The 16067-nt window shown below is 32.6% G+C and overlaps 1 protein-coding gene across 20 annotated transcripts in view, besides 1 other annotated feature; it reads right to left on the bottom strand.

The window, feature by feature from the left end:
- METTL25 (methyltransferase like 25) overlaps positions 1-16067 on the bottom strand; it is a 120711-nt gene that overhangs the window by 71443 nt on the left and 33201 nt on the right. For 19 of the 20 annotated variants that reach the window (NR_144943.2, NR_144942.2, NR_144940.2 and 16 more), the window contains 2 exons: positions 8403-9002; positions 4667-4814 (listed from right to left, as the gene is read on the bottom strand). Coding sequence is in view for 11 of the 20 variants with exons in the window: in NM_001319675.2 (NP_001306604.1) it covers positions 4667-4814; positions 8403-9002 (748 nt within the window). In the remaining 9 variants the exon portion in view is untranslated. Of the gene's footprint in view, positions 1-4666; positions 4815-8157; positions 9003-16067 lie in introns of all 20 variants that reach the window. The other variant, NR_144941.2, reaches the window with a different exon arrangement.
- Positions 6133-6427: a silencer, noted in NCBI's record as "tiled region #15106; HepG2 Repressive non-DNase unmatched - State 24:Quies". NCBI's record gives its function as "represses a minimal TATA promoter and a strong SV40 promoter by Sharpr-MPRA in HepG2 cells {active_cell/tissue: HepG2}" and the evidence as "EXISTENCE:reporter gene assay evidence [ECO:0000049][PMID:27701403]".

The following is a 16067-nucleotide window of genomic DNA, read 5'->3' as shown; positions in this document are numbered from 1 at the left end:
ACTTTCATTATTCCTATCACTTATTTTTCCACATTTTTCTCTTATCTCTTGGCTTTCCAACTGTTTTCTTGACCTCCGAAGTATTTGAGGGTACTCACGTTGCATACGTCCCCGCCCATTTCATCATATCACTCAGTCCTGTTTCCTCCTGCTTATTCTTTGCTTTCCTGACAAGCAAAACTCCCAATCGTCTATTCATTTCAAGTATGTATCAGGAAATTAAGTAACATTAAGATATTACTATTAGCTTTCCCCACTGAAGCCTAGCATTGTTTGCCTGATCATATCAATGATTCTTGATGGGTAAGATATTTTTGACAGGAAGGCCTTTCCAGTTTACTATTCCTATAGGGAGGGAAATTCAGAGTTTATAGCTGCTGGTCACAGTTCTCACAAACCTTTCCAACACTTTTTCTTATTTAAATCCTGTGGCCAAAATGTCCTGCAAACCTACAGTGAACAACAGCAACTTCAGAAGAGAAGACAAAACTGCCTTTACCCAGGCAGGATACAAGACTAATGCTTGAGAATCTGTTAACTGAGAGGCTTCCATTTCTAGTGTGCAAAAGTTTGGAGCTATTCTCTTCAACTAATTTCCTTAGAAGACTCAAAAATGATTTTATGAATGACCAAGTACTAAAGAAAGAAACTAAGAGAACCAAGAAGAGATTTTTGGAAAACAGATTATGGAGTAATCTTAAATGTGAAAGGAGGTCAATAAAAATCATGCCTTTTTACTGACTGAAATGGACATTAGGATTATCATTATAATTGCTTCTATGAAAGACATGAGCAAGAATAAGACAGAAGAAAAGACAATTACAATGAGAAAAAGTGACTATGAAGTCAAAGAGAAAAAAAAAAACTTGATTTTAAACATCTATCACTGCATGCCTTTGTTTATTCTGCCTGCAATACACTTCTTACTTCCTTGTCTGATTAACCTCTACTGAATCTTTCAAGACACAGTGGATATCACCACACGGGAATATACCCTCAACCCCTCACAGACTGAGCTACATGCTACTCTGCTGTAAGATAACAGATGTAATACCCTGTCTTATAGCAATTACTATATTATTTTGAAACTAATGTTTGATGATAAAGAAAACAAAGATGAACACTAGTGCCATATTTTATGTTCTCTAAACTCTACATTGAACTGCTCAACAGTTCACTAAATTTTGGTTTATTAAAAGAAGAGTACCACTGCCTTAAGCAAGTATTAACTATTTAGTACTGAATAAATAAAATACAATATATTAAACACCTTGCAAAATGAAAAAGACTAAAGCAACGTTCTCTGTGCTGATACAGAAAGACTATAAAAAATATATTATGTGGAAAAAAGGTGATGAACAGTTTATACATTTGTTTGCCTAAAACATATAAGAATATAGAATGTGTATATGTACTTTTTTTCTAGAAAGATACATAAAAAAACAATATAGGTACGGGGACTTACTTTGTATTTTCTTTTCCTTTGTTATTTGAATTTTCTATTCTAAATAGTTTTTACAAAAAAACAATGTTTTTAAAAAATTACTAATAAGGATTATCTGGTTCCTAGGATTGAGGGCTTTTTAAAGAAATTATTTAAGGGTGAACACGATATCTCATTTTTGTATCTCCACCACTAAGCACAGAGTGGAACACAGTTGGCACTGATGATGTTGAACTGAACTCTGCTTGTCATCTATTTTTCCTATCTCTTTCCATAACTATTGACTTTTTATGAGCCTCTCCCCCATTTCCCTTTATTTTACATAAAGTACCAACTACAGTGCCTTGAAAATAGTAGCTGCTCAATAAATGTTTGTTCAGTGCAATAACATACTCTCTTATGTGTGTAAAATGCAGCTGCCAAGGCAGGAAAACAGTGATTTTTTTTCTATTCCTAGTTACTTGTTTTTGACACACATTATACAAACATTCATCTATTCAATCACGTTTGAGTGAATGTGCTTAGTACTGAAGATACAAAAGTGAATGGAATCTGGTGCCTCTCAAGACTAATCAATCTACCAATTTTTCATTTGCAGGAAAGAAATGGCAATGACAATATGTGGATGCACAATCTTGCTTCTTTCTTCCTTTAGGTTTTTCAAAGCCCTCTCTATCTAACATGCCCTATTCAAATTCATTTTAGTTAGAATACATGACCAGTGAATATTTGCTAACAGTTTAAAGCAATAATCTATTAGAAAACGTACTGGAAAGCTGATTTAAAATGGATTAGCAAGGAGTAACTAAATTTCTTTTTTCAATCCTGGCAAGTAACTTCTGCTACTTTTTTTAAGTATGAGATTGAAGAATCCAACATCAGATAAAAAAGGCAGTAATGACACCTTCTGGTTACCATAAAATAATGATAGTCACCTAAATCTGAATCTATTTACATATTTTACAAAAAAACAGGCAAGAGATAAAATTGCTCACAATCCACAGCAACGCAACAAATTTTAATTTAAATATGTTAGGAAAGACACTATCCTAAACCAGCAGAATGAGCTCTGGGGATCACTCTGGAGAAAGAGTAAGGTGCAACTGTGCAGAAAAGAGTGTGAGAGAGAGTAGACTACATTGCCAAAAAGGATAGGGTTCATCTTTGGTGGGAAAATACTGAGACTACCTCTGAGACTTCACAGTACAGAGTGATGGCTGCTAGGGTCTGACCAGAGATGGCAGTCTTAAGAAAGCACTGCGTGAAGAGGAGAGGGAGGCCCCTTGGAATGGGAAGGCATCCTTGGGGGCAATGATGATAAAGTGAAAGAAGGAAGCAGGTAACTGAAATTAAAGACCTTAAAATGTAGTGTAAGGATAGTGACTCTAATTTTTTTTTTTTTTCTTTTGAGATGGAGTTTTGCTCTTGTTGCCCATGCTGGAGTGCAATGGCGCCATCTTGGCTCACTGCAACCTGTGCCTCCTGGGTTCAAGAGATTCTCCTGCCTCAGCCCCCAGGGTAGCTGCGATTACAGGCGTCCACCACCATGGCCAGCTAATTTTTTGTATCTTTAGTAGAAACGGAGTTTCACCATGTTGGCCAGGCTGGTCTTGAACTCCTGACCTCAGGTGATCTGCCTGCCTCGGCCTCCCAAATTGCTGGCATTAGTGTCTCTAAATTTAATGACACACAAAGTGTCTACACCTGTCCCCAAATTGAGCCATTTATTAATTGAATTTCATTGTACCTACAGAACAGGAAACTCTTGAACTAACAACCAAATAGTAAACCCCAAAAGGAAGCACTTACCTACATAAATCTTACCCTACTGCCAATTAAGGAAAATGTTATACACAGAACATTTAAAAAGCTGTAGAACTGTGATTGCATTAAAGTATTTTTTCATTTATTTCAGAAAAGATACATAAAAATACTATAATATAATGTAAATATGTGGGTATATAATTTAGTAGAAATACTTTTTTTTTCTAAGTTCATTTTTTACCCTAATTTTTGGTCTTGAAAATTTCTGTACTTAGAAAAAAATGAGTTGGTAATAATAGCATGACAATCGTATACTCTCCATCTAAATTAAACTAGTGCTAAATTTTTGCTAATTTGCTTTCTTTCATTCTATCTCTATACAGTCATAATTTCACTATTTCATACTTTTCCTAAAATAAAAATGTCAAAACACTGACATAAAATAATTATAATTTAATTAACTATATTTCGTAAAAATGTGTGCCAATTCTAAAAATGGTTTCTGTTTCACCTTGTCACATTTCAATAAAATTAAACAATTACAATGTTTACCTCCTGGGCATGACTAAATAAGAAATAATTAAAATATATTAATCTGGGTTTTAAAACTAAGAAAAGATCAACCAATACCATCTTAATGCACACAAAAGTTGGTAACCTAAAAATTCCCGATCTAAAACTCTTAGCAAGGACACAGATAAAGATATCATTAAACTAACATAAAAACGAACTACTATTATTAGTATACTAAATAACCATCTAATCTGAACCAGCAGTTTTGAAATCATATTTTACAATATCTTATGGAAAGATTTAACATGTAAAATGGAGCAAACAGCTATTTCAGGAGCTGCTCTGAATGAATATGTGGGGTGCTTCAAATCTTGCAAACCTACTCCATACTCTGCTCATCAGCACCTTCTAAGTACAGGTAGCATAGTTTGAATACTATTATTTTAATGCAATCACACAGTTTTAAAGTTTTCTAAAATTTTGGTATGTTGACTCTTCAAAATACAGTAAAGAACTTTTTCTTTTTTAAATATCAGTATTCCTTCAGATATGAAAAAAGGCTTTGGAAACAAAAGCAAACTTTGAAATTCAATATTCATAACAAAATAACTCAGTTTTACTAACTCAGTAAATGTATACTTCACAAGTATTTTAAAACAGAAGTTCTCTAAAATATGTATCACATAAAATTTTCAAATATTTGCAAAGGCTTCAGCACTCATTAAGCCCATTTTATGACCAAAGAAACTATAACAAATATACAGGTGGTGATGCATTAAATTTCAATAACACCGTAACACTAAAAGTGCAAGTAAGTCAGATGTTATCTTAAATGCTGATCCAAATCATGGTAATGACGAAAAAACGGGGAGAAATAGAAAATAGAAATAGCATATTTCATTATGCTCAAATGAATAAAAATTATGACACATGGGGAACTTGTACCTTTATGCTGGTTTTCAAATTCTTCAGATAAGAGGTGGTAGCAACAACCCACACTGCAAACTCCCTTGATTTCAGAGTTGGAGGTAAATATTCGCAAAGTATTTGGAGCCAGATCACCACAAGTGTGGAGACCCACCATCAAACAATCCTTTAAAATACAAGAAGAAAAATAAAATTTGGTAATTAAAAAGAGGGTTGTTTAAAATTTTTATTTATTTTTACATACAGGATCTTGCAATGTTGCCCAGGCTGCACTGTGGTGGCTATTCACAGGCACGAATATCACGTGCTACTGACTCAAATTACTGGCCTCAAATGATCCTCCTGCTTCAGCCTCCCAAGTAGCTGGGACTACAAGCACATTGTACCGCCCACAGCATGAGTTGAAGATTTTAAATCTTTCAATTTAAACATCCATTAAATCTTTAATGATTTAATGATTTAAAGATTAAATTAAATCTTTCAACTTTAACGTCCATTAAAATATGTAAAGCTGTTAATAATTATCAAATTCTACCTAGAAAGTATTCTATGTTTTTATTTTCATAGTAATAATTATTTCTTTATAGGTAAAATAACTGTGATCTCTTTTTACAACTTTTGAATTTTTTTCAGTGATTTCACTTATTTACCTGTTTATATTTTCTCCCATTTTACAACTAATATTTGCTTAACAACTAGACAAAGCAAAAATTGGACTAATCAAATGTAACATGTATTTCTAGACCAAACCTGTGCTTTGTTATAAATTTATATCACACTTTGACCATAATATTAATTTTTGAAATTAATTTCACGTCTCAGATTGCCCATCAAAACCTTATAAAATATTGTTATAAAAAATAAATAACTGTTGTAAACTTGGTATTTCTACTTTAACAACAAAAAGCTTAGTTTATACACCGCATCAACTATGACAATATAAAATTTAATTAAAAAATTTTTTCCAAATTTTATAGTATACATCGTATTTAAAATTCTCCTATGAAATGTTTATTCTAATTATCCAAAGCCTAATTTAAATGTACACACACACATACACAATGAGTACAAATGTATACATGCACAGAATCTTGTTCAACAATCATTTTGAAGTTGAATTTACTAATAATACTCTTCTGTCTTTGACATGACTCATAAAAATTTAGTTAAAGTAGGAGTAAAAAGAAACTTGTAAGAAAAAAAATTTATACAGAAAACCTGTACCCTATTAGAATCACATACTTTTACCATTTGGAACTAAAAAATTTCTAATAGTAGCCTCTCAATTTTCCAGATGACACTCAAACCATGATAATGTAAAGATCATGTTTTAGTGTAAATCTGTGAATATAGGTATATTAATTTCTAGTTTTTTAAAATTAAATCATCATGTCTCTCAAAGTGTTCTCTAAAGTATTACTCATCAACTAATTTTAGTTGGTACTTTATAATACCAACTAAAATTAATCTTAAAGCTGTAAATATTAAAGATACATGTGTTTACTTAAGAGATGTTAAAGAAATAGTTATTAATGAACTAATTGCATAACCTGTAGTACAGTCATTAAGAGCACAGTCTCGGGAAAAAGCCTGTCTAAATTCAAGTTCTGTCACAGTGTGATTTGGAAAGCAAATTGAGGAAACTGATTTCCTCAACTGTAAGATGGAGATAATAACAGTACTTCATCTCAATGGGTTCTTTCAAAACTTAAGTAAACTAATCCCTGTAAATGACTTAGTACACTACCATATAATAAAATTCAGAAAACATTGTCCATTTTTTTATCATTGTAATTTACTTTAAATTACAAATTCAAAATAACGTTAAGTATTAACTTGTTTCTCAAACACATTTTTATAACTATTGTCAGCATATAATTGTTTCACTAACATTTTTAAAAATTATTTTACTAAAATGTTATTTTAGCCTATGTCCTAGACATAAAAGACAGCTGTAATCAAACTTACTAAAAAAAAAATTACGCCTGTAAGTGGTTTTGACCTGATAGAACACTCAGTTGCTTCAAGCACTATCCTTTTCAAAGCACAGTTTATAGAGGTTTATACAGCTACTCTGCTTTTCTTGATGATTAGTTTAGATAGGTTTTATTTAGAGATTATGATGTCATCAGTAAAAAATAATTCAGACAAGATTTATTGCTACTTAGGGACAGAGTAATAAAGCTACGAATTTCTCTCTTTAAGCTTAATTTAGCTCTCCCTAAAGAAAATAAAAGAACATTTAACCTCATTCTTTATTGTATTTATCATATAAGATTAGTTAATATTAGCAAGTAGCAGCTAGGAGACAAAAATATGTAGTCACCATATTATCCTACTAGTAAAATATTTAAGTATTGCGAGAGGGTAGGGGGAATAGGGGGTGTTAGTTAATTCTGTTATTAAATTGTGATTTGCTATAGGATCCAAGAAACATTCTTCCAGTATATCTTATTTTAGATGGTTCTTAAAAGAATTTGTATACAGTTTTGATCATATATTTTCAGCAAGATTTTGAGAAAATTAGAAGGTGACAAAATGTACTAGAAATTTACATTTAAGTTAAACTAAAGTCATTGAGATTGTTTAACCCTAAAAGAAAGTCTAAAATAATTACTAATTTCATGTATAAGAAAAAGAATTAATGAAGGTACACTAGATTCCCTTAAATCCAAAAATATCTGGGAAAAAGAAAAATTTCCCATTTAAAAAATGGTAAAACAATGGTCAGCTATCAAACAAGGATTTAAATTTATAAAGAACTCTACTATCTCTTTTATTTATACATTTCTTTTTTTCTTTTTTTTTTTGTTGGGGGGGACACCGTCTCGCTCTGTCACCCAGGCTAGAGTGCAGTGGTGCGATCTTGGCTCACTGCAAGCTCCACCTCCAGGGTTCATGCCATTCTCCTGCCTCAGCCTCCCGAGTAGCTGGGACTATAGGCACCTGCCACCACACCCGGCTAATATATATTTTTTTTTGTATTTTTAGTAGAGATGGGGTTTCGCTATGTTAGCCAGGATGGTCTCAATCTCCTGACCTCGTGATCCACCTGCCTTGGCCTCCCAAAGTGCTGGGACTACAGACGTGAGCCACGGCACTCAGCCTATTTATACATTTCTTTGGGGAAGAATTTCTTTAAAAAGAAAAAAAAATTACAAGGGTAATACAACTCCAAAAGCTACCTTTTTTTTTTTTTTGAGACAATGAGTTAGGCCAAACGATCTCTAGAATCTCCTCTATAATACTGTTTCAACATGCAACATTGCCTTTAAGATCTGCTGTCTTTCAATTACATAAACTGACATACTTGTAATTTAGAAAAAGTTCAAGCTTTGAAGAACACTTAGAAGCTACTCTTGCTCAAGGAAATTCCATATTGGCAAGTGTAACATTGAACATTACTTTGTTCTAGATATCCCTTTACTTCAAATTTAAATTAAAATTTAACTACTTGTTTAGAATTTTAACAATTCCTAAACTGCAGAATGAGAACTTAGTTTACTTACTAGCTTTTGTGCCAGGACTTCAATTTGATTTAAGAGGCTTGAAATGAGTAGAGGATACTCTATTCTGAACAGGCTCATGTCAGGTTTTGATGGGTGTGGGAATAATGAAAGCCTACTTATGATTTCATTTTCTTGGTCTGTTAGATTAATGTGATCAAGTAAGATATGTATGTTAAGTAAGCTACTATTAAAATTGAATACAATGTTTTTGTAAATCAAATTAAATAATTCAAAGGTAAAGTCACCTCCAAATCTTTAATAATGTCATGGAGTTCTGAATCAGCAGTGATAAAAGAGGTTAAAGGTGAATATATATTTGATTCACTTGACTTTGATGTCATTTTTCTTCTCTCTTTATTGGCTTCAGATGTTTCTCTGTTGGGTATTTGCTGTGAAGAAGTAGGCTCTACAGCATTAATAGGCAAAAGGTTTATAAGAGAAAAGGAATTTTCAAAACACAAATTTTCTTCTTGATGTGGCTGAGAATGAAGGGTTTCCATTTGGTTTCTGATATTAGAAATTACAGAGCCAGAAAAATCAGGCAAAATAGCTGAGGTAGGCATCTTTTCTTGATTTGTAGGACTGTTGTTAAACACTTCCTCAGTATCAGCTTTATTTTTAACTTTATTTTGCACTTTCCTTTCTTTTGCCATTTTTAATGCTAGTCCATTGACATCTAATCTTGACTGAGCATGACAGAGTTTCCAATGTTTCTTCAATTTTCTGTTTCTCTCCTCAGCTCCATGAGTATTGGTATTTGAAGAATCAATTCCATAAACTTTTAAGCCATACTTCAAGGACAAAAAAGAGCTTAGGTAGCCTTTACCGGAACCCAAGTCAATCACCTAAGATTAGAAAAAAAGAATAAATTAAAGAATTTTAGGCAAATGGTAATAGAAAGCATTCTAGATTTTTTGAAGTAAACAAATGAGTTATATAACTTAAATATTATTTTAATTTTTTTTTATTCCTATGAAAAACCAACCACTCATCATTTTTATTCAACATTTTACTGGAGGTTCTAGCTAGTTTAATAAGTCAATGAAAAGAAGCAAAAGAAATAAATAATGTAAGGGAAAAAGGAAAACTGTCTTTTTTGTACATAGATGACATAGTCATGTCTGCAGAATATCTTAAAGAATATACAAAAAGCTAACAGAAATAGTAAGTGAATTTAGCAATGTGTCAGGGCACAAAGTCAATAGAATTAACAACGAATCATCAGAACATATATAATATAGTAGCAAAAAACAATTAGGAGTCAAGCTTGGTGGCTCAAACCTATAGTCCCAGCACTCAGGGAGGCTGAGGGAGGACTGCTTGAGGCCAAGAGTTTGAGACTGCCCTGGCCAATATAGCAAGATCCTGTCTCTATAAAAAAAAAAAGAAAAATAAAAATTAGGAAGTAAAATTTTAAAACAATTAAAATAGAATAAAAATAGAATATATAGGAATAAATTTAATGAAGGATGTACAAAACCTATACATTGAAAACTATAAAACACTGCATAAAAAACTAAAAAATTGATATAAAGAGATATACTATGTTCATGAAATGGTGGACTCAATACTAAGATGGCAATTCTTTCTTCACATTTCAACACAATCCTAATTAAAATCCTAGCTAAGCTTTGTAAAGAAATTGATAAGTAGATATTATGATTTAAAAAATAAGGCAAAAATGCCTAAAATAATGAAAACACTTTTGAAAAAGAATAAGGTTGAAGAATTTTACTGACTCAAAAATATAAAACTAAAACAGTGTAGTATAGCTACAGCTAGTATAAAAACAGACACATAAATCAATGGAAAAAATGGAAAGAAACAGCTGATATAAAAATAAACATATAAATCAATGGGAAAAAACAGTACAGAAATAGATCCACACTTATATAATCAACTGATTTTGGACAAAGTGCCCAAGATAATTTAATGAAGAAGATAGGTTTTTCAACAAATGGTGCTGGTATAACTGGATGTTGATATAAAAAAAAGAAAAAAAATTTTTGTCTGCTACAAATCAAACACAAAAACTAATTAAAAGTATATCAGAGATGTAAACATAATAGAAAAAAATGTTATCTGATGGAAGAAAACAGGAGAAAAATTGTGACATTTGGATAGGCAAACATTTCTTATGTAGGACATAAAGATCAGGAATAACAAAAGAATTTTAAAAATGGACTTTACTAAAATTAAAACTTCTATTCAAAAAGACAAAAATGAAAAGAAATACTTGCAAAACATTTATCTGAGAAAGGACTTATATCTAGAATAAAGAACTCTTACAACTCAGTAAGAAGACAAGTAACCCAGTTAGAAAACAGGCAAAATATTCAAACGTACTCTTCCCAAAATAAGATATACACACTGCCAATGTGAAAAGATGCCTAATATCACTAGAGAAATACAAACAACCACCACAGTGAGATGTACGCAGATGTAAAATGGTATAACCACTTTGGAAAACACTGAGTTTACCATAAAGTTAAATATACTTTACATATGACCCATCCATCTCACTCCAATTTATCTAAGAGAAATGAAAACATGTCCACACAAAGGCTTATATGTGAATATTCAGAGAAGTCTTACTCTGAATAGTAGGCAAAAAATAGAAACAACTCAAATGTCCATCAACTGGTAAATAAAAAAACAAATAGCATATCTGGACTACAGCATATGGCATACTACTCAGCAATAAAATGGAACAAGGCATTAATACACAAAAAGATATCAATTGCTCTCAAATACTATGTGCTAAGTGGAAGAACTGAAATGAAAAGTCTACATACTATGATTCCATTTGTACAATGTTCTAGAAAAGTCAAAACTAAAAGCAGATCAGTGATTCTCTGAGAATGAAAGAGAAAATATCCTACAAAATCACACAAGAAAAGTTTTTAGGAGGATAGGTATATTCTTAATTATGCTAGTGGTTACATTAACTGTTATAATTACCAAAATTTATCAAAGCTAGAGTTGGTGAATATTTAAATTACACATTCAATGAAACAAAAAATAAGAATAAAAAGTTATAAACATTATAATTGCCATGTCATTTCATAAAATAAATGGAGAACTATGGAAATACTATCACAACAAATCATTACCTACTCTTATACATATCTTTAATTTCTAAAGTCAATGAAATCTTGACATAAGTATGAGCCACTCAAGGAAACATTCCTATACTTACAGTAATGCATAACCGTAATTAAATCCTCAAAACGTTTCAAGGTCTTACAATGAGACCAGTTCATAGGAAAAACTCCAGTAAATAATGTCTCATAAATACAAAATAAACTTAGTAATTATTCCCTATACTTCCATTTTATGTTATTATTCTAGGATAGGTATTGCAGGGAAACACAGAAGAATTATATACAGTCATGCATCACTTAATGATGGGAATATGTTCTGAGAAATGTATTAAGAAATTTTGTTGTGCAAACATCTTTGAGTGTGCTTATGGAAACCTAGATGGTATAGCCTACTAGACAACTATGCTAAAAACCTGTACAGCATATTACTGTACTGAATACATAACAAAATAAGCACTTGTGTATCTAAGCATATAAAAGGTACAATAAAAATACAGTATTATATGTTATGGCACTACCATCTTATATGTGGTCTGTTGTTGACTGAAATGTCCTTATGCAGCATACAACTGTAAATCTTGACTTTAAGAAACTACAGTCTAACTGCAGATACCATATCATACTCATGCAAGGGCTATATAGTAGAAACTCTATTATTTAATTAGTTTTGTCTTCAAACTATCTGATCAGAATAGGAAAATCCCCACCACCCTGATCTCCTGCCCTTCCCCACAATAGACGTCCCTGCTGGATCATATGCCATACATTATAGGTTTGAAGACAGAGGAGTCTCTAGTCCAATACCTGGTGGGAGGGATCTTCTGAGTATCCCAATGTTGTTTAGGAGACTTTCCCACAGAAACATTGTTACAAGCAGTGGTTAAATTTTGTAATAACACTAGTATGGTACTGTACTTTAGATAGTAAAGATACATTTTGCTGACAGACCTAGAGATCTAACTACCATTCCAAGCTAATGACTCTCAAATTTGTAACATACCTCCAGGTAAAGAACAGGACTCCTTCTGTCTCTCATAAGCTACATCTGAACTGTGAGCAAATCCATGATCTCATCACTTACCAGAGCTACTTCATACCAACTCCATCCTGAGCCTGGTTAACTGCAATGGCTTTCTCAGTGATCTCCCTGTTCTCACCTTTCCCTTTTCACTCCATTTTCAACAAAGAAAAACAAAGTCTGATCATATATCACTACTCTTAGCAAATCCCTCATTACCTCTTTGGTTTCATCTCATACTGTTAACTCCTACGTTTGCTGAGTCTTTTTGCTTCAACTCTGGATGCTCCTGCTCAGATAGGAGCTAATTTTGCAAAGTAACCAGCTCGAATGTCCACAAAGACTATGGTAAAGAAAAGAGGCAAATATAGTGGAAATATCTGTTTCATAATACAACCTAACAGAGTAGAAAGAATGATCCAGTGGCTCCAGTGGCTTCCAGTCTCATTCAGGATAAAAACCCCAAATTATCACAATGACTTCCAAGACATTGCAACTTAATGTCCTGTCTTCTTCCACCACAACCTCAGCTCCTACTACTTTCTGCTTGTTCAATCTGACTTCCTGGATGTTTCAGAAACAAAGTATGCATGTTCAGGGCCACTGAACTTGTTGTTCCCTCTATAAGAAAAGTTTTTCCTCTAGATCATCTAATGGATAGCTTACCTCCCGAAGGTTTTAACTCTATTATCGTTACAATGAGGTCTTACTTGACCTTCCCCTCTGTATCAAAAACTTTAATTAACTATCCCCAGATAAGCTCCTCCCTTTTGTTTTAATTTTTCATCTTTAAAATATATCAACATACACATTAAAATACACTCATAACCTTTTTATTGTCAATCTCTCCTAATTAGAACATAAATGCCACTAGGGCAAAAATATTTCTTGTTTGTTTTGTTCACTGATGCACCCTCAGTATAGAAAATAATGCCTGGAACATGGTTAAGAGCTAAGAAATATTTGCTAAATGAATGAATGCATGCAAGTATGAATGAGTGAACATGTTTTAGAGATAAAAATTAAGAAGCCTTGGTAATGTGAATGAAAGAGACAAAGGTGTTCGGCATGTAGGGAGCAATATGGCTGAGGTAAAAATGATATTCTTGTTTAGTTCTCTATGGTCACCAATAAGGTTATGTATTTCAGAATCTGGGTTTCTACTTACCTCATGAAATTTGTATTTATTAAATCGCATTTTAAAAATATAATAATAGTTGGGGACTTCAACAGTCCCATTCAGTATTGGACAGATCATCCAAACAGAAAGTAGGCAAAGAAACAGCAGACATAATCTGCACTATGGACCAAATGGACATAGTAGACATTTGCAGAACATTTCACCCAACAGCTTCATGTTCTTCTTCTCAGCACATGGACCATTCCCAAGGATAGACCATATGTTAGGACACAAAATAAATCCCCAAAATTGAAATTATGTCAAATATCAATAACAAGAGAAACTCTGAAGAGTATAAAAACACATGGGAATGAAACAACATGCTCCTGAATGACCAATGTGTCAATGAAGAAATTAGAGTGAAATTTTTAAATGTATTGAAAGTAATAAAAATGGAAACACAACATACCAAAACCCACGGGATACAGCAAAAGTAGTACTAAGAAGTTGACAGCAATAAATGCATGTAACAAAAAAGTAGAAAATTTTCAAATAAACAACCTAACAATACACCTTTAAAAAAACACTAGAAAAGCAAGAGCCAACCAAACCTAAAATTAATAGAGGAAAAGAAATAAAGAAACCCACATCTAGCATCATACTGAATAGAGAAAAAGTGAAAGCCTTTCCACTAAGATCTGGAACAGGACAAGAATGCCCACTTTCACCATTTTTATTCAACATAGTATTGGAGGTCCTAGCCAGAGCAATCAGGCAAGAGAAAGATATAAAAGGCATCCAAATTTAAAAGGAAAAAGTCAAATGATCTTTGTTTACAGATGATATGATCTTATACCTAGAAAAACTGACTCGATCAAAAAACGATTAGAACTGATAAAGAAATTCAGTACAGTTGCAGGATACAAAATCAGTAACAAAAACTAGTATCATTTCTATATGACAACAGAGAAAAATCTCAAAAGGAAAACAGGAAAGTAATCTCATTTACAATAGCTACAAAATAAGATCCCTAGGAATAAATGCCACCAAAGAAGTTAAAGATCTCAACAGTGAAAATTACAAAACATTGATGAAATAAATTGATGAGGACACAAAAAAACTGAAAGATATTTCATGTTCATGGATTAGGGGAATCAATATTGTTAAAATGTGCATATTACCCAAAGAAATCTAGAGATTCAGTGCAATCCCTATTAGAATATCAATGACATTCTGCACAGAAATAGAAAAAAAATCCTAAAATTTATGTGGAATCACAAAAGACAGAGAACAGCCAAAGCAATCTTGAGCAAAAAGAACAAAGCTGGAGGCATCACACTACTTAACTTCTAATTATACTACAAAGTTATACTAACCCAAACAGTATGACACTCCCATAAAAACAGACACATAGACCAATAAAACAGAATAGAGAACCCAGAATTAAATCCATGCATTTACAGCCAACTCATTTTCAACAAAGGTGCCAAGAAGATGCATTAGGGTAAGCACAGTCTCTTCAGTAAATGGTAAAACTGGATATCCATAAGCAGAAGAATGAAACTAGACCCCTATCTCTCACCATATACAAAAATCAAATCAAAATGGATTAAAGACTTAAATCTAAGACCTGAATCTATGAAACTACTAGAAGAAAACATTGGGGAAACACTCTAGGACATTGGTCTAGGCAAAGATTTCTTCAGTAGGACCTCAAAAGCATAGGCAACCACAGCAAAAATGGGCAATGGACAAAAATGGGATCACATCAAGCTAATAACCTTCTGTACAGCAAAGTAAACAATCAGAGTGAAGAGACACACACAGATTGAGAGAAAACATGTGCAAACTACCCATTCGACAAGGGATCAACAACCAGAATACATAAGGGACACAAACAACTCAATGGAATAAAAGCAAATAATCTGATTTAAAAATGGGCAACAGCCATAAAAAATGATGAGTTCATGTCCTTTGTAGGGACATGGATGAAATTGGAAATCATCATTCTCAGTAAACTATCACAAGAACAAAAAACCAAACACCACATATTCTCACTCATAGGTGGGAACTGAACAATGAGAAAACATGGACACAGGAAGGGGAACATCACACTCTGGGGACTGTTGTGGGTTGCGGGGAGGGGGGAGGGATAGCATTGGGAGATATACCTAATGCTAGATGACGAGTTAGTGGGTGCAGCGCACCAGCATGGCACATGTATACATATGTAACTAACCTGCACATTCTGCACATGTACCCTAAAACTTAAAGTATAATAATAATAAATAAAATAAATAAAAAATAAATAAATAAAAAATAAAAAAATAAAAATGGGCAAAAAATCTGAATAGACATTTTTCACATGAAGACATACAAATGGCCAACAGGTATATGAAAAAATGTCCAATATCACTAAGCATCAGAGAAATGCAAATAAAAACTATAATGAGATATCATCTCATCCCAGTTAGAAAGGCTATTATCAAAAAGCATTAAGGTAGGTGTTGGCAAGAATGTAGAGAAAGGAGAACTCATATACTGTTGGTGGGAATGTAAATTAGACAGCCATTATGGAAAACAGTATAGAGGTTCTTCAAAACACTAAAAATAGAACTATCATATGATCTAGCAATTCCACTACTGGGTATATATCCAAAAAAAAAAA

This window comes from Homo sapiens, chromosome 12 (assembly GCF_000001405.40).
Source record: "Homo sapiens chromosome 12, GRCh38.p14 Primary Assembly".
NCBI classification, from domain to species: domain Eukaryota; kingdom Metazoa; phylum Chordata; class Mammalia; order Primates; family Hominidae; genus Homo; species Homo sapiens.
Note: the sequence above shows the minus strand (reverse complement) of the source record. Positions and strands in the feature narration are given on the sequence as shown.